The sequence below is a fragment of the Homo sapiens genome, chromosome 5 (assembly GCF_000001405.40).
Source record: "Homo sapiens chromosome 5, GRCh38.p14 Primary Assembly".
Lineage (NCBI taxonomy): Eukaryota > Metazoa > Chordata > Mammalia > Primates > Hominidae > Homo > Homo sapiens.
In genome coordinates, this window is record NC_000005.10 from 165,298,367 (window position 1) to 165,321,966 (window position 23,600).

The window sequence follows — 23,600 nt, forward strand, 5'->3', positions numbered from 1 at the left end:
CCTTGGCAAGTTTTTATATAGCAGCCATTTGAAATATATTCAAATGATATGTTTTGAGAATAAGGACATTGGATTTCAGGAATATGAGATTTAATAATTCATCCAAAGGTAGAAAATGATTGGGTCAAGAGCTCAGGTTGCTTGCTATTCATTTCTTTTCTGTCTATTGAAAAACTCTGTTGTGATGGCAGTTCTTTTCAAACCTTATGTATTGTGACTAAAAACTTATTTAATTACTTATTTTTGCTTCAATAAAAGGAATATTTCCATTTTCATGAATCAATATCAGTTCAGTCTCTGTTTTATAAAGCGTAACCACTGGTTGGCTTATAAAGACCTTCTATATTAATTACATGTGTTTGTACATGTGGTTTGGGGGTTAGTGAGGCACTCTAAATGACGAATTGAGCTCAAACATTTGTATTAATATTTCATTATTTTTTTAGCTGAAATATTTAGTTGAGTGGTTGGTTAGTTATTGTAAACTTTAGTCTTATTTTTTGATGAAATGGATAATTTATTTCTATCTCTAAAATAAATACTGTTTTTGTACTTTTGTTGGTTACATATACACACAGAATTCATTGTGGCAAACAGGACGTGCATCTTTATGTACGTTAAATACTGAAGAATCTGTAAGTATAAAAAGTTAACAGGAAAAACTCAGTTAAGATGAATCTACTTAACGTTAAAATGTCACAATGTTAGCAGCAGTGAATCCATACAGGTCTGCAGCAACCTCAATTCTTGCCTCCTCAGAAGAAAGAATTTGACCGAGGGGCATAGGGCACAGTGAGAGACTGAGGCAAGTTTTAGAACAGGAGTGAAAGTTACAATTAAAAAGTTTTAGAACAGGAATGAAAGGAAGTAATGTACACTTTGAAGAAGGCCAAGTGGCAACTTGGGAGATTCAAGTGCATCGTTTGACTTTTGACTTGGGGTTTTATATATTGGCATGCATCCAGGGGGTTGCATCTCTCTTACTCTGATTCTTCCCTTGGGGTGGGCTGTCCATATGCACACTGGCCTGCCAGCAGTTGGAAGGGGCCACATGAGCAGTATGTTTACTAAAGTTGTACACATGCTCACTTCAGGCATTTTTCCTTTACCAGTCGAGTGTTCCTAGAGGAAGGTCATACACCAGTTAAACTCTGCCATTTTGCCTCTTAGTGTGCATGCTTGAGCCCACTTGCCCAAATCATGAGATCTTATCAGGAAGCTGCTGATCACCAGCTTCAGGCACTTTCTTTCTACTGGGAGACTGCCTTTCCCTGTCATTGGCTGCAAAAAATTATTATTTTAGAGAGAGAGTTGAACAACCACCTGACCATCACCTGATACTTGCCTGACATTCCTGGTGGGGCAGAGGCGGCCCTCTCCTGCCCTGCTCATGTCTGCCTAACTACCTACTCTAACAATAATAAAGAGTGGAGGTTGGGTAAGGTGTCTCATGCCTGAAATCCCAGCACTTTGGGAGACTGAGGCAGGCGGATCACCTGAAGTCAGGAGTTCAAGACCAGCCTGGCCAACATGGCAAAACCTCATCTCTACTAAAAATACAAAAAAAAAAAAAAAAAAAAATTAGCCAGGCCTGGTGGCACATGTCTGTAATCTCAGCTACTTGAGAGGCTGAGACAGGAGAATCACTTGGACCCAGGAGCCAGAGGTTGCACTGAGCCAAGATCACGCCACTGCACTCCAGCCTGGGTGGCAGAGTCAGACTCTGTCTCAAAAGAAAAAAAACAAGAGTAAAAACAAGTTTGCTTGGGACTTAGAAAATGAACTATAAAAGTACTTTTTATATTTAAAAATTAGATGGTAAATAATTATTAGAAAATAAGTGTTCCTTTGTAATGTACAGTTTTCATCAGATTGAGTGATAGAAATATATGACTTAGTTTACTTTTCTTTTGACTTTTGCAGCAACATCATTATAAGGGTCATGAGTACAAAAACATTCAAGGGCTTCATCAATTTTCCTAGCAGCCTTGATTAATATTTTAATACCAAAATCATTTTCTCTTAAGACACACCCTTATCAATTTTTCTTCAAGCAAAATTTTATTTTTTGGTTATTATTTGAATTTCTCTAACATTTATTAAGTATGTTATCAGGCCCTGTTATACGTAATTTACAGGCAGTATCTTATTTCATCCTCACAAAATCACTATTTAATAAGAGCTGTCATCTTCTCATTGTACAGATCAAAAATTAAAGGCAAGAGAGAATAAGTTTGCTACCCAATATCCAGAGTTAGTACATGATAAAGCAAGAATTCCAACTGAAGCAGCCTCCAAAATTCATACACTTAGGTGTCAATGCCCAAAATAAGATTGTCTCATAAACATTAAGATTTTGTTTGGGACATGTCCATCTTTAACACGTTTGTGGAATCACTTAGGATACTTTTCCATTGTTTTTACACCTGCAGTATTATTTTTCATGGACTCATACATTATGTGAGAAGATATGTTTGAGTGGATACTAATTTCATAATCAGTTTACTCATGGGTCTTTACATCTTATGACAATTTTTGCTTTTTTTGAACCTGGTAAATATGGGGACTCTGACAAATAAAGCTCACTGACAAGTTCCTACTGTACTGGTTAATAAATATATGTACCTCTGTAGGGATATACATGAACTGACCAATAGGTAAACACAAAGAAGGCACACATAAAACTAGTACCAAGGCATTGTGACCTCCAGCACTATTCGTTGAACTGGTTAAAAATCCCGGAAACAGAGGGAACCTTGTCTTCTTCTTGCCCCATCCCTCACAAGGCCTGTGTGCACTAGCTCATGTTAAAAAGATTCCTGAACAGGAAAGAATGATTTTGAGTTTCAGCAGAACATTCCTTCAGAGAAAGTTCTTTGTAAGAAGTAATCTTTTAAGTCTCTCACTATTAAAGCAAATGGGGTAAAATTTAACCTTTAAAATTTATGTCATTCATTTATTAACTTCTGAAATCTTAACGTTGATTTTTCTGTTATTTTTCATTTAATTCTCAAACATGTAGACTAGCTAAGTTGATCTACAAGTCTACAGAGTCTACATCCCCTAAGTTATTGACAACTATTTTGTGTATGATATGATTTAGCTGTATCCTCACCCAAATCTCATCATGAATTGTAACTTCCATAATCCCCATGTGTTGTAGGAGGGACTCTGTGGGAGGGAATTGAATCATGAGGGTGTTTCCCATGCTGTTCTTGTGATGGCAAATAAGTCTCATGAGATCTGATGGTTTTATAAAGGGAGTTCCCCTGCACATGCTCTTTTGCCTGCTGCCATGTAAGATGTGCCTTTGCTCCTCCTTAGCCTTCCACCATGATTGTCAGGCCTCCTCAGCCGTGTGGAACTATGAGTCTTTTAAACCTCTTTTTCTTTATAAATTACCCAGTTTCGGGTATTTCTTCATAGGAGTATAAAAATGGACTAATACAGTGTAAAATAAAAAGATGTGGTTTACCCAGCAGTATTCACAGCTTTTTAATTTAAATTCTGGACACACTTTCACAGTTATGTTGAATGTCAAGAAATATAATTCTGTATAACTTTTAATTTTTTTCCTCTTATTGTCAATTATCACTTTACCATGTATTGTGATCTATAGAAATGTCAAGATCAAAGTGAACACTAATCCCAGAAAGTGAGGTAGCTTTGTATTTTCTACCATGGGCCAGGTGCATCTGTGTTTTGATCTTTGCTGATTTATAAAACTGCTCTAATCTTGCCCATGATTCACTTTCTTTATTTCTTTTCCAAAGGCAAGAAGGCCTCATGTTGCTTTCTTTAAATCTCAACTGCTGACTTTTCAATTCTCTAGGAGAACAAATTTTATTTCAAAATATGCTTGGAAAATTGAGTAATGAACTTTTTCAAATTGTAAGATTGTTATCACATCACTACCAAGATATGTAATGATAGTCTTCTTAATGTTTTTTCTATGCAGACTAAATAAAAATAACAAAGTCTTTTATTTTTCTGTGCAAATAACACTTCTTGGTGAATTCTCAGTATTTTTGGCCATATGGCTCTTTGCTAGAAGTAAACAGCTACTGGTAAAACTCTTCATTGATTTTACAGTTGTGAAATTGTAAATACACAGTGGTTATAATCCAGCAGAGCAACGCATCTTGTACCTCTTGCCAGGGAGGGTCATGTGTAAGCCCAAAGGAGAGTGATCTCTCTTGTATCTATATGATTTAGCACTTCATTACATTGTATTATCCTTTTATTGTTTATTTTTTTCTAATTTCTTAGTTTTTAGAAATAGCATAAATTCTTTAGGGCCAGGGATTGTGGCACCTGATTGTTCTAACCTTTTCATTTTCTCTTTTTTTTGCCTAAAATCCTAGCACATAATGCTTGTACTTGAAATTCAATACCATTTACTATTTAATAATTCATATCTAAATCGATATGATTTTAAAAAGTAACTTCCCTACATACGAACAGGATGGGTGAAATTCATGAATCTGCTGAAGTTTTCTTCAACAAAAATCGTGAAAGTATATTTATTAGTTCAACTTCTTTACCCATCTCCTATTTTTATATGCTTACAATATTTCTTTCTCCTGTTACAATAATGCTAAATTTTATTTTGGTCCTTCCTGATAGATACTATTAAATGATGACAAATTAAATAAAAGGGAAATGATGTTTCTTATATAAGATTGGCAACTGAAACAAGCAGGTTTTAGTAAGATAAATTTGATTCTTTTCTAAGAGGATAAACTTGTAGAAGTATGAATAAGTAAACTATAGCCCAGTGCGGTGACTCACGCCTGTAATCCCAACACTTTGGAAGGCCGAAGTGGGAGGATCATGAGGTCAGGAGATGAAGACCATCCTGGCCAACATGGTGAAACTCTGTCTCTACTAAAATACAAAAAATTAGCTGGGCGTGGTGGCGTGTGCCTGTAGTCCCAGCTACTTGGAGGCTGAGGCAGGAGAATCGCTTGAACCTGGGAGGCGGAGGTTGCAGTGAGCCGAGATCGCACCATTGCACTCCAGCCTGGGCAACAAGAGCAAAACTCAAACTCAAAAAACAAAAAATTATCAGCTTTCTATACATTCATTTATGACTTGACAGTGCAGGGAACATGGATTACAGACCAGGAACATACTACAGACCCCTAATACATTCAGCCCTATCTGCCTCTGCATCCTCAGGAAGGAGTATGTTTACTACTGGCCCTTTGCTCATTCTCTGAATTTAAGTTTTCTTATCACATAAAGGCAGCATTTTAATCCATGAGTGTCTCAGTACCATCCATAGTCAATGGTATTTTGAGAAACTCCCCATGTGATACTTCTCTTTAGAAAGCTCTCTGCATCATGCTTATTAAGTTATATCACACCCAACAAGATTTCCTTGTAAATCTCCTCGGAGAACCCACTGAGAATCTAAATAGAGAGAACCGCTGATTAACTGGAAAACTCAATTAATCATCATTGTTTTCTTTTTCTTCTTGAGCTGTAGTTGAAGGATAAAGAAGTTAATAGCAATAACAATAGCAGTAACAAAAGAATTATGAATGAATAAAATGTTTTCTACAGTGTGACTAGGATCTGTCAAGACTAATTCTGATCTCTGGTGGACCAATTTTTAGCCCTGAGGCTGCTCACAAATCATGGGAAAAATAAATTCGATTTCCTACAGTGTACTTTCCAAGGTATACATGGTCTAACGCATTTAAGAAATATTTCAACCCACTAGTAGGAGGAAAGAAAAAGCATTCATGACAATCTATGAACAGGAAATTTTATTTTGTAAGATTGTACTGTTGTTTAACTCTTTTACCTAGTCAATGTTTATAATCATTATACACATTGTTTTCCATATCTTTTGAACAAATCTGGCAAGCTCTTAATGCTTCCGTGGCTCTGGGAGTCAAGTTCTGCATCTACACACAAGATGGGGGCCTAAGTGCCTGAACCTTTTCTTAGAGCTGAATGAGTCAGGAGTGGACTTAGTTCAAGCTGGATAAGCAGCCTCTCTCTCCATCTGGTCCATCTGCATGTGGCTAGAACCAAGGACACATGTTCTCAGGTGCTGTGTGGATACTGTGTGCAGAGAAAATCAGAGAAAAGCGTCTGCACGTAGAAGCACGTGAGCCAAGAAAGAGCCTGTGTGACCCAAGAGAGCAAGAAACCTAGAGCACAGCAGTCTTGGTGCCTAGCAGCTTTTTCTTTCCTGATGCTAGGCTTCCCTGGCTCTACATTCTGCTTTTGAATTGTATTACATGAACCTTGATCCTGAAATATGCTTAGTCAGTACTAGTACACTTCCAATGTTTACAGCCAAAAAATCTTAACTCACACACACTTAGTAGCAGTTAAGTCCTTTTAATCTATATTTCTTGTACTCCTAGAAACTATTTTTCTCATCGTGACGTTTTTATAACTATCATTATGATGTGCTTCCTATACAAAGCAAAGTACTTGTATTATCAGATTCTCACTACTTTGAAGTAGGTACTATTATGATCTCCCCTTGACAAATGAGGAAAATGAGGCACAAAGTGTTTACAGATATTGCAAGAGAGATTGTGATGAAATGGGGGTTTGGTCCTAAGCATTTTGGTCCAGAGCCCATATTCATAAACCCCAATTCAGTTTGGAAAATAAAATAATAGTGAAAAAGTTCATGTACAACATATGGAACTAGGATTTAAAAATGTGTGTATATATTTGTTAGAATATGTGTGTATCTGTGTGTGTGTGTGTGTGTGTATCCTTTTATATATGGAACACTCACCCATCCCAACTGTATGTGGAAAATGTCATGTGAAATTATGAGAATATTCATATGTTCTTTGTTTCTTCATATACTTCCTTGGAATGTTTCCTTCATTTATTACATCTCTGAGTGAAAAATGACACATTGCACAATGGCCATAATCAGGCCATGGATGCCTACTATTGATACGTGTGCTCACACAGACCTCTGAACTGAATCCCCAATTTAGACTGCTGCCTTCTGTAAGCAGTCGTCACCTTTGCATAATCTCTCCACTCTGAGCTCTATCCAGGAAAACCCAGTGAGACAGGGTGAATTTAAAAGGCCACCATAAACTGAGCCACGAATTACCAACAGATCCAGTGGTTCAAGAATAATTTCCTCTTCAGCTTGAAACGTAAGTATGGCTCACTGAGAAGCCATATTACCTCCTGATTCCAAGGAAGGCCTGTCAGAGCAGAACTCACAGAGTGTAAAGTTTTTAAAGTGCATTTGTTATCGCTTGCTAGTCTGACTATTAAAGTGAAACACTACACACCGTTAAACCTTCAGACTAGCACTGCAAAAATACTTATCAAAAATACAGGCTCTGGGAGATTTGTTTACTCTAGAAATATGCTGTCTTTGCAGTTACGTTTTCGTTAATGAGAAGGCAGTGCAGGATTTGCCTTTTTCATTGGAGGGGCAAAAAGCCAAATGAAGGGAATTGTCCTTAAAGTGATATGGCAATACCCAATTCCTAGGCAGGGTTTGGAAATCTTCCTGAAAACATTTTACGTTCTGAAATAAAAGAAAACCATTTGTTTTGCCTGAAAATTTTGTATTCAGCAAGTTACTGATCTATAATATGACAGCTGAAAACGTGAGTCTGAAAATAAGCCCCTCCAGGTAGGAAGCATTGTTTTCCTAAAAACAAGAAGCCATATATTCCTTTGCATTTGGGCTAATGCAAAATTATCATGAGCTTAGGGAATGATAATGAGTTGAATCGGTACTGTTTTGAAGCACTGTAAAAGTTTCCATTAAAAGTTTAGAAGTGACGCTGTCTCCAGTTACTAGAAGATTCTGGCCTCCATTTGTAAACCTGTGCATGCATTCCGTTCTTTGGCTTGCTCCTTGAGTATGGCATTTGCTTGGACAGCATGTGACCTGCCTTGTCAAACAATACAGGGTAGAGTAAAGGTGGAGGCAAATAAATAAATAAATAAATCAGTAAAGCTTCAGAGGCATTTTCTTGCTTTTCCCATTTAATTTTTCATTTGGGTTATAAATGGCACCTCAGACAGAAGGAAGCCTCCTGGGTTTGTCAGGATTCTCTGCTGGCCTAATCATGAGCTTGACACATGTAGAAGTGAGGCACTGAGAGAATTAGTGATTGCGGCAAGAAGAAAGGAAGAGTGATCAATTATTCACCACATGCCACCAAATACAAGAAGCATGACCACTGCTTGTCTCTCGCGTTCTCTCCTCTGTGCACAAACAAAGCTACTCCCACAGCCTACATGCCATTGAAAGAAATATTCCCTTCAAGCAATTCTCATTTTCACCAGTCCATTTACATGTGACTTTATAAGTGGACAACCATAATTAAGGAAATAAGTTAATGAATGTTCTCTTAGTTAGCTTCCTTAATTTCTTCCTCTCCATTTATTAAAACAGAAAAGAAACAAAAAAGACCTAGGTGAGTGACCTTGAGAATAAATTTATATATAAAATTGATTTAGGAAATACCTGTAACATGTTAAAAGTAATGCAAACGGTTTGGTAAATTCCTTGTGATTTTCTGTGTTTAAAGAGATACTTCCCATCATGAAAAGTCAGAGAAATTATCTGACACTAAAGAGCATTCCAATCTCTTGTTTTCTTTGTGGATTCACGTAGCAGTCATTTCATCAATAGATATTCTTGAGCAAAGGAAAATGGGCAAGTTTGTAACTCTTCAATTGTAATCATTGCTTTGTGACCCATCTCTGTCATTGATGAAGTGTGTCATTTTGGGTAGCTCAAACTTGTGATATCCAAGCTTCTTTTATCTATACAATACCCCATCTTCCAGTAATACGTGCTCCACAGGGTTGTTAGAAGTATTAAATGAGATGATATTTGTAAAAACATTCAATCAATGTTACTTCCCATATACCCAGTTATACCTGTAGCAAAATTGTTCTGCATATTTGCTCATTATTAAAATTTACCATCAGAGGCCAATAAATGGGTATCTACTCTCTCTCAGATTTTAATATGCTCTATATTGCTTTTGCATCTGAAAGAACCACTTATGGATGCTTTCAAAATATCTTTTTTTCTAAGTTCTATAATATATTTATTATGTAGATTTATCATTTGCTAAAACTCAATATGTGCCAAGAACTATGTTAAGCTATCTTTGGCTTATACAGCTCTTTGAAGCCTCACAGTAATCCTCAGAAAAATTTATTATAATTTCCATTTTACAGATGAATACATTGAGACTCAGAGGGCTTAAGTATCCTCAATCCCAGACCTGTGAAAATCCAGTCCATGGTCTTTATTAAGGTTTCTCATCTCTTTAATATACAGACAAATTTCCTGGGTGTATTAATCCGTTTCACACTGCTGTAAAGATACTACCAAAGACTGGGTAATTTATAAAGGAAAGAGGTTTAATTGACTCACAGTTTTGCATGGCTGGGGTGGCCTCAGGAAACTTAACAATCATGGTGGAAGGTGAAACAGGCACATCTTACGTGGCAGCAGATAAGAGAGAGTGAGTGTGTGAGAGCACGGGAAAAACCATCGTTTATAAAACCAACAGATCTCATGAGAATTCATTTACTATCATGAGAGCAGCATGGGGGAAACTGCCCCCACAATCCAATCACCTCCCACAGGGTCCCTCCCTCGACACATGGGGATTATGGAGATTACAATTCAAAATGAGATTTGGCTGGGGATACAGCAAACTATATCACTGGGAAATCTTGTTAAGATGGAGACTCAATAGGTATCGGATGAAGCCTGGAAGTCTTCATTTCTAACAAGCTCCTCAATGGGGCCAACGCTTCTGGTCCTCACACCACACTTACTGTTGCAAGACTCTAAAACACCCTGCCGTACTACTTAAAGCTAATCATGAGCACTCAGTAAATATCAAATAAAAAATGAAAACTCGTCGAAGGCTAGAGAGAAGGATGACATCTGATGATTTGCTCGGGTGAAAATTTCTGGAATTAATGACTAATTTTTTGTTGGGCTCACATCAAAGTAAGAACAGGTCTTTGACTTTGTTACAAATGACCTTTGCCATATTCATGTGTTTCCCCTCATTGAGCCAGTTTGCTGGACCCCACTGAGCTCCAAGCCATATTTGGCCTGCTAGAGATTCTTGACCACCCAGTAGACTAGGGGATGTTGCCTCTACCATCTGGCTACTTTCCAGATCCTTCCCTCACTTGTCATGTGTTGGTCTTTCTGACTGATCACCAACACCAAAATTCATGTTGGCCTCAGCTGAGAAATCATCAGAGTGAATTTATTATTAAAATAATAGTAACCTAACTTTAGGGAAAGAAAAAATATAATGAGGGAAATGAGGAGCAGAGAGAAGAAAGGAGGAAAAAAATAGCAGAGAAGAGGAAGGAATATAAACACAAGGACCACAGACTTTAGAACTGTTGATGTCTCAGAACCCAGGAAATAAGAACGGTTAATAGAAAAAGAAGAAATCCTAGGAGCTAGCCTGACAGTTGCTTTCTTGCAGAAAATGATGTTTGTCATCTATCACTGTCTGACTTAGTCCAGAGACACTTTTTCCCTTTGCCTCACGTGTGCCATGTGACTTTGTTTCCAAAGTGTTTACTCTCCATCCCCCTCCTTGTAAGAAATAGTAAAGGAGTCAACAATAGACATTAATGAGGAGGATCTAATACATGGCAGGCACTGTGGTCAACAAGTGGGAATTTGGACTCTGATCTCATGAAGCAGAGTCTAATGGGGAAGCCAGGGGCCTCATCCAAATGCAACTACCCCCACTGAGGCAGAACCTCTGACTTCTAGCCTACAATTCCTAAAGTTCTCTTTTCTGAATTTCATTAATAAGCCTTTGCCACTGGACCACAAATTGTACTTTATAAATGTGTAGTTCAACTAATAGGGAAAAAAGCAACTTTCATCATTGTGTTCATGTAGGTGTGCAGAGGCAAGTATACACCTGTGTGTTTCTTTCAACGTTGCACAATTTTATATTACATATTTACAATTATTGTGGTTAATGTACATTCTGATTGCCCACGTAAACATAACTAGGCTTGCTGATAGACACATCCAAGCCAGATAAAGCCAGAAGGAGGGAGGGAAGGAGGGAGGGAGGGAGAGAGAGTGAGTGTGTGTGTGTGTATATGTGTAAGAGGATACAAGTTAAGTAAAGCAAACTATGACTTTTTTTGCTTTCATTCTATATGACGAAGATCACCTGGGCCAGAGGTGATATAAATACATGCTCATATAAGTACATGTTAATGACTTCATTGAACAACAATCCTCAGGTATGGTTCTAGCATAAGGGAGCAAAAGTAAGTGCAGAACTTCTATTTATGGAGATTACAGTCTAGTAGAAGAGACAGTCATAAGAATAATGCAAATGCGTGTACAAACATGCACCAAGAACATGTTATGAAATAGATTTCTCTTACAATGGAGTATATTAAGAAAGGAATCTGAACGAAGGTGACTTTTGGAGAGGGAAGCTTTTCTTAGGAGGTGACTTGAACTGAACTTTAAAAGATAACTCAGGAAAACTTGTAAATAGGAGCAACCCTGTTGTGGAAGGGCAATTGAAATGTTCCAGGAACTCCCCAGCCAGTGTATCTGGAGGTCAGAGAACATAGCAGGAGGTACAAACAGAGGCCATAGGTAACCTGTGGTCCCTTTGATGCAGTGAAGGATGGCAATAACCATATAAGTAAAACATAGTGTTTATTTGATTCAGCCCTAGCCATGATATTTTGGGTATGTGGGGAAGGGGTGTGAAACAGTGATATGGCTTGGATCTGTGTCCCTGCCCAAATCTCAAGTCCAGTTGTAATCCCCAGTGTTGAAGGTAGGGCCTGCTGAGAGGCGACTGGATCATGGGGGTGGAGTTATGAATGGTTGAGCAACATTCCCTTTTGATACTGTATAGTGAGTGAGATCTGGTTGTTTAAAATTGTGTGGCACCTCCCCCAAACCCTTGCTTCTGCTCTGGCCATGTAAGATGTGCCCGCTTTCCCTTTGCCTTCCTCCATGATTCTGAGTTCCCTGAGGCCTGCCCAGAAGCAGATTCTGCCATGCTTCCTGTACAGCCTGTGGAACTGTGAGTGAATTAAACCTCTTTGTAAATTATTCAGTCACAGGTATTTTTTTAGAGCAGTGTGGGAACTGATTAATACATACAGGTACTGGGGAACACAGTTCCCATTTCCTTGTCTCTCAGCCACATTGTTCTGTGGTTCCTTCTGGAATTATCACACATTGTCCATGTGTTTAGGTGCCCAGGCCAAAGTCATCTTCTCTTGATTCTGACATTATCTATAGAGATATCCTTTGCTACTTCCTACGTGCTTTTATGCTACAGCAGAAACTGGGATAAAGGAGACAGAAAACCATCTTCAGTTGGATTTGCATTATAATCTATTGTATAACAAAACTGGTGTTTTATGTAGATTTCTAAATATTTTCCATAGGGACTAGAATGATGGAACACTTTACTGGGGCCATTGCAAATGGTGGTGTAAGGTGTGCAGGGGCCAACTTGTGTGACAGATCTGCTAAACAATCCATCATCACCATTGTCCTTGCCTCAGCCTTGCCCACCCTCATTCTTTGAACTGGTTCCCTCAGTTTTCCAAGGATTTCATTCCCATAAGGAATGAAAATCCCTCTCACATAGACTCCTGATCAAATCATGAACCCAAACATATCCCCATCTCTAGGACACCTCCTGTGATGTGTATTCACTGCTCAGCTTCCAGATTCTAAAAATGTGTGCTCTGATGTAAGTCCCAAATAAATTTAAATGAGTTAAAATTTTATTGAACGTCTACTATGAGCTTAACACATTTGATATTTTGAAAAATATCAATGCCCAATTCCTTTACTATAATTTATCAATGTAGAAATTGGGATAAGTTTAAAATTGAGAGGCCCAGGAATTGGGCTTATATCCCTGTTGCCTCAATGACCAGGCATGTGATCTTAGGAAAGTCACTAAGTTCCTTTGTGCTCAAATTTCCTTTTTTATTTTTTGAAAGAAGAGTGGAGATACTGCTTCATTCATTCATTCATTCATTTCATATCTCTTGCATGCCTGTTATACAGAAGATAATAGAAACCCCAGGGATACAAGGTTGAGAAAAAGAAACTTGTGTTCCACATTTGTGAAAATTATAGTCTGCAGCACAAGGTTATTCTCAAAATCAATAAGATAATGGCTGTGAAAGTACTTTGAAAATGACAAATATTGCACATGCATTAATTTTACTCATCACCCCCATGCTTAAGAAATTCAGAAGATTTTTCAGGGCAACAATGATGACATGAATAAAACATGTAGAAATAAGTTTTACAGAAAAGGATAGACCTGTGTAGTGTATTTTATAGTCTAGTCCACCAATGCAGTAAAATTTCAAAGACGGACATTTGAAGTTGGTATGGAAGGATCAGAGAGACTTCCTGGAGGAGATAAAACTTGAGTTGGCCCCTTGACAGATGAGTTTCCATAAAGGATTACCAGTACCTTTCTGCTTTCTTGATCCTTAGAATGTTTAATGAATAAAAATGCCTATGGTAAAGCAATGCATTGTGTTGACATATTTTAACATAGAGATCTCATTGTATTACTACCATAATGACCATAGGACTGGTTTAATTACTTCTCTTAACAGCATGGGTTTGAAGCAGATTTAGAGATTTCACTGTTGCTTAAAACTAAATGGAAAAAAACAAAAAACTGATGGCTTTACAGAAGAAATAGAAAGGTAATTTATTTCTTCTACTGAAAATGCAGCAGATACCCTGTGTTTCCTCTGACTCTGTTGAATTGTAGTATGGTCAGTGAAATTGATATTCAGGTCAATATCATTCTTTAAACCTGCAATACTTTGTGGATATAATCTGTTTCTTATATGTTACTTTAAGTCATATTTTGCAAACGAACCTCATACTCGATCGGGGAACTTGGCTATTTCAACAGTCATAAAACAATAAAATAAAAACATAAAACAAAAAAATAAAAATAAAACTACTTATGAAATTGGTGATAAAATGCTTCAATATTTGTTGAAATAAAAAGCCATGTTATGTTTCATTAAAAAATGCATAAGAAACAGAAAACAGCTCCAACTGGGTTTCTGACTCAGTATTTTCTTCTTCTCCAAGTGAGCTCTTTCATACAAGATACTAAATTTAAAGTAAATATGGATGTCCCTCAGAAGCCAAAACCCTTGAAGAAAAATGTGAAAATATATGTTAAGGGTTTGTATGATAGAGAATGTTTGATTTAGAATCTTTTTAGTATAACCATAGTAGTTACAAAAATCTGACTACCTATTAAGTTTATTTTGTTTCCGTATTTAACCCCAATTACCCTGTGCAGGGGAATTCTTTTAAAATTTAATTCCCCCTCTCATTTTTTTTCCCTGCTTCTGCAAGCCTTTTTCCCATCATGTAAATTGCAGCAGGTGCACAAAATTGAAGACATCACAATTAAATGTAATCAAATATTTTAGGCACTAATGAACAGCTCCAGGAAAACAAGTCAAAAGAAAAAAAAAAAGCCTTTAAGTGAGTGGATTTTAAAACACCCGAGCCACCATAGGACCAATTAAGAGAGTCAGATACCAGGACACATCCTGACATTAATTATCTTTGAGTTCAGGGAAATAAAAAATAAAAGCAACAATTATCATAATAAATCTCCACACAGTGCTTGTAAGTTGTGCTAATCTACAACACACCTGGGTTTCAGATATTTAAGGCGAATACTCAATCAGTTGGTAACGACCTCACAGAGGGGCTCATGGGACATTTTTTCCTTCCTGTGATCTGCCAATCAGATAGAGGGGCTAAAACGATGTCCAACAGCTATGTCTGCTTTATTTCGCATCACTCATGAGTTGCAGATAGAAGCACTGCATAATTTATTCAATAAAGTAAGTCACAAAGCCAGTATTCTCTTTAGGGGATGTTTATTCAAAAAGAAGGAAAAGTCAAGAATAGATACTCAAGGTAAAAATTTGAATCGTTGGAGTCCCAAAGTCCCAGAATGTCTCTGTAAATTTATTCTCCCTGAAGCCAGAAAGAATCTTACTAAAGAGAACAAATATTTCAGTTTGGGAGTATGGGTTTTCATTTTTTTAAATGCACAGGAGGGGTCAGAGAAAGAAAGTTAAGTGCTATAAGCAAAGAGGAATAGAAAGAAAAACTTGTTGTTAAAATTGATCTAAATTCTACCGATAATTTGAGAACAAGAGCATAATATTTTAACAAAAAAGGATATTTAAAAGTTAGATGATTGCCAGGATTCTTTAATCAGGGAAAAAAATAACATAAATATTAATTAGAAAAAACTATACAAGTGTTTGTATGTTGAATGCCTTCAATGTGATTCAGGTAGAAATGTAAAATTAATGACATCTTCCTAAACTTTTGATTAATAGTTTAACATAGTAACATTTTCAGTGGACTCCTAGTGGTATTAGATGAAAAAGAAAACAAATATATGATTTTCATCTTCTTGTCCCCTCTCTGAACCCAGAGTGATAACTTTTCTTGAGGAAAGACACGTTCAAATTATATATGATTTTTTAAAGTTTTTACATTAATTTTAATATTTTGGGCCATGATGTTTATCCCAAAAATATAACTTTGATTATTCTGTCTCCTAATCAATTGAGAATTCTGATAATGCATGTGGTAATTTCCTCAAGTGTTAAAATATGTATGATGTTTGTGCAACTTTTAAATGTTTTATATCATACCGTGAAAAAGAAAAACATATACATATATTTATTCATTTTTGTTTGTTAGATCCACAATTTCAGTAGACTAAAAAATGTTGTAAAAGATAGTAAAAAGTAAACAAATGCTTTTATATTATGTAATACTTGACACAGACTAAAAGTGCTTCTAATCTAAATATTGGAGAAAACGAAATAGGCAGTTCTTTACCCACAGCTTACAACAAGCTGTGGAAACTCATTTCTAAATTTTGTACTTTGCAGTAACATTTTGATTCTTGTAAATTATATGCCTTCACATAGAATGTCCTCATATAATGAAAAATTTTGAGTTATTTTTATTGTACATCTGCACATAGCTATATAAATTATGGCATGGCTAAATGTTTAACCAACTTCTTTTTTTTTTTTTTTTTCCTGAGACAGAGTCTGGCTCTGTCGCCCAGGCTGGAGTGCAATGGCGCCATCTCGGCTCACTGCAGTTTCTGCCTCCCAGATTCAAGTGATTCTCCTGCCTCACCACGCCTGGCTAATTTTTGTATTTTTAGTAGAGACAGGGTTTCACCATGTTGGCCAGGTTGGTTTTAACTCCTGACCTCAAGGGATCTACACGCCTCAGCCTTCCAAAGTGCTGGGATTACAGGTGTGGGCCACCGTGCTGGGCCTAAACAACCTTTTTAAAAAATAATTTAATATTTTGGAAATATAGCCTTGGCTTCTGGAAAAGTTTTTTTGTTTTTGTTTGTTTTTTAGTGTTCTATCAAATCTAGAAAACACAAAAACATTTTAACACATTTTATTCCATCAAAATTTGAAATGTATTTATACAGAAAGGCATGATTACAAAAAGATTTAAGACATAAAATCATGGAGAACATATTTGCAAATGTATAGCAAAGTCTCAGCCTGCTATATAGGAATACCTGAGGCTGGGTCATTTATAAGGAAAAGAGGTGTATTTGTCTCACAGTTCTTCAGGTTGTACCAAAGCATGGCGCAGGCATCTGCTTCTGGTGAGGGCCTCAGGAAGCTTCCGATCATGGTGGAAGGCAAAGGGTAGCCAGACTCACTTGAAGAGAGAGGCAGAAAGAGAGAAGAAGGAAGAGACAGGAGGAAAGAGAGAGTGGAGAGAAGTGCCAGGCCCGTTTTAACAACCAGCTCTCGGGGCACATCTCCCAGGGAATAACAGAAGAACTCACTTATTACCTCAAGGAAGGCACCAAGTCTTTCATGAAGGATCCACCCCATGACCCAAATACCTTCCAAGATGCCCCACCTGTAACACTGGAGATCAAATTTCATCCTGAGAATTGGAGGGTCAAATATCCAAACTATAGCAGGTACTAACCTTAATAGATAAAAGTTCTCATGAACCATTTAAAAAATATCTATGTGGTTGTTTGTCAGCTCTCCCTGCTTTGCTGGCAGTGAGAGTGTCTCCGTGTGCACCAGCCACACGAGGAACATTCTCAGTGCAGCTGCTTTAAAAAAATAAAAATAAAAATATTTAAAAATACCCAATAATACAACTTTATAAATTACAATGAACATAGAAAATGGTGCTAACATTTAATAATACATAAAGAAATGCACACTTTAAATGCATTCAGTGCTTGAATGTGGAAACAATGACAGTTTTCAAACATCAAATATATAAAAAAAAACTAATTGATAATCACCATCATAATAAATAATAAATGGGGGATTATAAAATACCTTTATTAAAGGCTTTTCATTCACAATATCTTTCAGTAATAAAAAATGAGAATCAGTGCCTATGTCATTTAGAGACTGAGTAGTCTATAAACAGATTATAATAGACATTGAAAGTTAGAATTTTAATTTTATTGATATGAGAGAGTTTTGTAGCATACATTTCAGTGAAAGTAACAGGTATTTAAATATTTCTTAGTGTTATACTATTATATAATATGTTTAATCAAATAGTATGTGTGTATATATATATACACATATACACAGATACATATATACACATACATATACATATACTATATATATACACATATATGTATATATATGACATTCCTCTTTTTTTTTGAGTTGGAGCTTCACTCTTGGCATCCAGTCTGGAGTGCAATGGCGCAATTTCCGCTCACTGCAAACTTCGCCTCCAGGTTCAAATGATTCTCCTGCCTCAGCCTCCCAAGTAGCTGTGATTACAGGTACCTGCCACCATGCCCGGCTAATTTTTGTATTTTTAGTAGAGACGGGGGTTTCACCACGTTGGCCAGGCTGGTCTCGAACTCCTGACCTGAGGCCCACCTCAGTCTCCCAAAGTGCTGGGATTACGGGCGTGAGCCACCACGCCCAGCCAGCAGACATATTTCGTTTTGCCAACACAATATTTTTCTTTTAATTAGGCAAAGAAACATTTAGATCATGATCAGACATTTTTCTTTCTTTCTTTCTTTCTTTTTTTTTTTTTTTTTGAGACAGAGTCCCACTCTGTCACCCAGGCTGGAGTGCAGTGGTGCGATCTCGGCTTACTACAACTTCTGCCTCTCGGGTTCAATGGATTCTCCCACCTCAGCCTTCCAGGTAGCTGGGGTTATAGGTGTGTGCTACCACACTTGGCTAATTTTTTTGGATTTTTAGTAGAGATGGGGTTTCACCGTGTTAGCCAGGATGGTCTTGATCTCCTGACCTCGTGATCTGCCCACATCCGCCTCCCAGAGTGATGGGATTACAGGTGTGAGCCACCGGATCAGACATTTTTCACATAAAACTCTAGATTTCTGACCTCTGAGAAATCCAAAGATTTGGCACCAGTGGCCCCACCTTTCAGAAAAGGAGCATAAACGAGGACTCTAGCACTGAGTTACCTAAGTGTTCCTTGAATACAAGCACTAGTGATAACTCAACAGTCAGTCTAACTGAGATGGCTACTCAGTGACGAATGGACAGGGAGAATGCACAGGGTGGAGCTGGTGGACAAAGACAGGATTCAAGTATGTCCCTGCCAGGATGGAGCCCATGGTGTGAGCTTTCGTCACCCTTCTCCAAATGGTGCTCAATTTAAAACTGATGAATTGTATGTATATTTCTGGAATTTTCCATTTATGTCACAATGCTTACATCATTCACCTCACTTCATCTTATTATGTAAGCATTTTATCTCTTCACATCATCACAAGAAGGGTGAGTATAGTACAATAAAATATTAGAGGGAGAGAAAGAGACTACATTCACATAACTTTTATTACAGTATATTGTTACAATTCTTCTTCTCTCTTTTTAGTTATTGTCACTAATCTCTGTGCCTACCTAATAAACTAAACTTAATCATAGGTATGTATGCATAGGAATAAAAAATAGTTTATATAGGATTTGGGTACTATCCACGGTTTCAGGCACCCACTGGTGATCTTGGGACGAGCCCTGCAAGGGTAAGAGGGGATTGTTGTAATCATATTTCGATTGCATTTGTACTCTTATTTTCCTTTGGCAGGAAAATATCTCTTACATTATTTGCCCTCCCTCATTTGCATGTCCTGCAAGTGTTTGTTCGCATTGTTGATCTGCTCTTCTCGACCTGCTTCCATTTCAGGAACCAGTAAAAAGAGGATAGATACATTGAACTTCACTTTTCCCTGACATGTTATAATCAAATGCCCAAACCTTCTGACTAGACTTTCTGTTTAGCCTTTAACTTCAATGATGTTTTTTGCAAACTCATACTCATTCCCAGATCTTCGGGACGTGGCATTGCCATTTTAGATCTAGGTGATTTTTCCCTATGCATGTGTTTTTTTCTCTATTAGTCAATATACTTTTCATTGCTATAATGTGAGAATGTTTTTGAAGTCTTATTTTCTATGCCCCATTTTTGGTGGGCATTACTCATTCTATAAAATTCATCAAAACTGCAATTTTATTGATAAGGTTTTTTCTTCCTTATTAAAAATAGGAAACTTGGTGCTCTATGTGTAATCAAACAAAGCTGAAAGACTGAATAAAATGAAAAGCATAGAGTAAGCCTTTTGTATTATTCCGTTCACACACTGCTAATAGAGACATACCCAAGACTGGGTAGTTTAATTGACTTACAGTTCAGCATGGCTGGGGAGGCCTCGGGAAACTTACAATCATGGTAGAAGGGGAAGCAAACATATACTTCTTCACATGGCGTTTGGCAACAGAGCATGTGAGGGGAACCACCTTTTATAAAGCCATCAGTTCTTGTGAGGCTTCTTCACTATCATGAGAACAGCACAGGAAAAACCCATCCCCATGATTTAGTTACCTCCCACTTGTTCCCTCCCACATCACGTGGGGATTATGGGAACCACAATTCAAGATGAGATTTGGGCAAGGACACAGCCAAATCATATCATTCTGCCCCGGCACCTCCTAAATCTCATATCTTCACATTTCAAAACCAATCATGCCTTCCCAACAGTCCCCCAAAATCTTAACTCATTTCAGCATTAACTCAAAAGTCCACATACCAAAGTTTCATCTGATACAAGGCAAGTCCCTTCTGTCTAAGAGCCTGTAAAATAAAAAGCAAGTTAGTTAGTTCTTAGATATAATGGGGGTACAGGCATTAGGTAAATACACGTGTTCCAAATGGGAGAAATTGGCCAAAATGAGGGGGACAAGGACCTATGCAAACCCAAAATTTAGTGGGGCAGTCAAATCTTAAAGCTCCAAAATGTTCTCCTTTGACTCCAAGACTCACATCCAGGTCACGCTGATGCAAGAGGTGGGTTCCCATGGTCTTGGGCAGCTCCACCCGTGTGGCTTTGCAGGGGACAGCCTCCCCCCCAGCTGCTTTCATGGGCTGGTGTTGAGTGTCTGCAGCTTTTCTAGGCACACAGTGTAAGCTGTTGGTTGATCTACCAATCTGGGTGCTGGAGGATGGTAGCCCTCTTCTCACAGCTGCACTAGGCAGTACCCCAGTGGCACTCTGTGTAGGGTTCCCACCACACATTTCCCTTCCACACCGCCCTGGCAGAGATTCTCCATGAGGGCTCTGCCCCTGCAGCAAACCTCTGCCTGGACATCCAGGTGTTTCCACACATCCTCTTAAATCTAGGTGGAGGTTCCCAAACCTCAGTTCTTGACTTCTATGCATGGGTTGGCCCAGTACATGTAAGCTGCCAAGACTTGGGACTTGCACCCTCTGAAGCAATCACCTGGGCTGTACATTGGCCCCTTTCAGCCATGGCTGGAATGCAAGGCACCACTCCCGAGACTGCACAAAGAAGCAAGGCCCTGGACCCAGCCCATGAAACCATTTTTTCCTCCTATGCCTCTGGGCTTGTGATGGGAGGGGCTGCTTTGAAGACTCTGACGTGCCCTGAAGACATTTTCCCCGTTGTCTTGGCGATTAACATTTGGTTCCTCATTACTTATGCAAATTTCTGCAGCCAGCTTGAATTTCTCCTCAGAAAATGGGTTTTTCTTTTCTATCATATTGTCAGGCTGTAAATTTTCTGAACATTTATGGTCTGCTTCCTCTTGAACGCTTTGCCACTCAGAAATTTCTTCTGCCAGATACCCTAAATCATCTCTCTAAAATTCAAGGTTCCACAGATCTCTAGGGCAGGGGTAAATGCCACCAGTCTCTTTGTGTAGAGAGTGACCTTTAACTCCAGTTTCCAACAGTTTATTCATCTCCATCTGAGACCACCTCAGCCTGAACTTTATTGCCCATATCACTATCAGCTTTTTGGTCAAAGCCATTCAACAAGTCTCTAGGAAGTTCCAAACTTTCCCACATTTTCCTGTCTTCTTCTGAGCCCTCCAAACGCTTTCAACCTCTGCCTATTGCCCAGTTCCAAAGTCACTTCCACATTTTCGGTATCCTTACAGCAATACCCTGCTCTACTGGTAACAATTTACTGTATTAATCCATTTTCATGCTGCTGTGAAGAAATATCTGAGACTGAAATTTATAAAGGAAAGGAAGTTTAATGAACTTGCAGTTCCATATGGCTGGGGAGGCCTCACAATCATGGCTGAAGGTGAAGGAGGAGCAAAGGCACATCTTAAATGGCAGCAGGCAACAGAGCATGTGCAGGGAAACTGCCCTTTTATGACACCATCAGTTCTCTTGAGACTTATTCACTATAGTGAGAACAACATGGGAAAAACCCATTCCCATGACTCAATTACCTCCCAACCAGGTCCCTCCTATGCTGTGTCAGGATTATGGGAGCTACAGTTCAAGATGAGATTTGGGTGGGGACACAGTCAAACTATATCACCTATAAAAAAAGAAGATCATTCAATATGTTAATCAAATGCTCCTATATTTTTCTTAATAAACATAGAAAGAATATGGGGGCATCTCATATCATTGAAGTCACAAATATCTATTAAGCCTTCTCATTGATTGGGGCTTAAAATCATGCAACAATTGTAAATTTTAAGAGCCTGGAAAAGGTTTGGTTTTCTTGTTTGTTTTTTGTTGTTGTTGTTGTTGTTTTTAACAATTAACCATGCATCTTCTTTTAAGGGAAAAACCATTAAATACTTTTTTATGACTTTCTACTTTGCTTTTTTGTTTTAATTTTACTCTCCAGTGGGCCACATCCTACAATCAGTGCTAGGAGGGGAACAGGTATAAGGATTAAAAAAAAAGAATTAGAGGGAGTTGTATGAAGAGAGAGAGGATGAGTGATGTGTTTCCCTTGAATATTTTATTTTCTTAATTGAAAAGAAAAGTGCTTAGGGCCCAGGGATACTAAATCATTTTTTGCATGTATAAAGCAGATCAGTGAACCTGTTTATTTTTTCCTAAAACTACTTACCCTACTGTGTGGAGAGGTAACCAAAAACATCTATTTCATTATCCTTCTGTACGAACCTCAGCATAAAGGAAAACATATATAAGACACTGTTCTTAATAAAGATCTCTTTAGAAGCCAGGAAAAATAAGTAGAGGACTTAGTTTTTTCCAGTATGAAAGAATGAACTAAATTTGTAAAGAAAGTTCTTAGGGTATACAAAATCATCAGTTAAGTAATAGGCCTATAATAAATAAGATATATTCACCCTGATTTTTTTCTTCTCTCTCTCTCCTTTTTGTAGCAGCCTCCACAATGTACTGTATATATTCAAAAGGAAGTTTTCTTTTTATTTGTCCTGACAAAAACTAATGCAATCATCTCAGTGGGCTGAGAGTTTCCCCAACAGATATATTATGACAGTCTGCTGTCAGGCTTATGATTGCAATAATTAGTCTATTAATTTAAAAACCAAAATGGACAAATTTGTATCTTATATCCTATTATTGTATCTTTATATCTCTTGCATATACATTCTTAGGGATTAACTTTCCAGTTAGGATATTTTAACATCTGGATTTTATATTTAGATGTCTTAAAACATATTTGTAATGCATACCTTGATGGATATATGTATATACGTATCTTGCCTTTTTATGAAGAGCTCTTTACCTCCTCAACTTTTAAATCCACTTTTGCTACCTAGTTGAACAAAGTTAATAATTAATTCCAGCTTACTCAAATTCATGTCACTGCTAACACTTGAAAAAAAAAGATGATTCCTAATTTATTAGCCTCAGTTTTTAGCTAAAATTAAACTACCTTCTCTGTACAATGAGAATATTAAAAGGAATCATTAGATCCATTTTTAATTACTTAAAAATAAAATGACCTTTTTCTTCCCTCTTTACAACTCTTACCAAAAAGAATGTCATGAGGTAACTTCTAGTAGAATTTATCTTACCATTTTGATTAAAATCCATATGTTGCATTTGACATGAGTAAAATATTTAAAATACAGATTCAATTTATAAGAAAAAAAGATTGCTGAAGTGAAGGCTTTAGAGATTTCTTTTGAATTTTACCTTTATTACATTAATTGAATTTGGTGAAGAGCTCCAT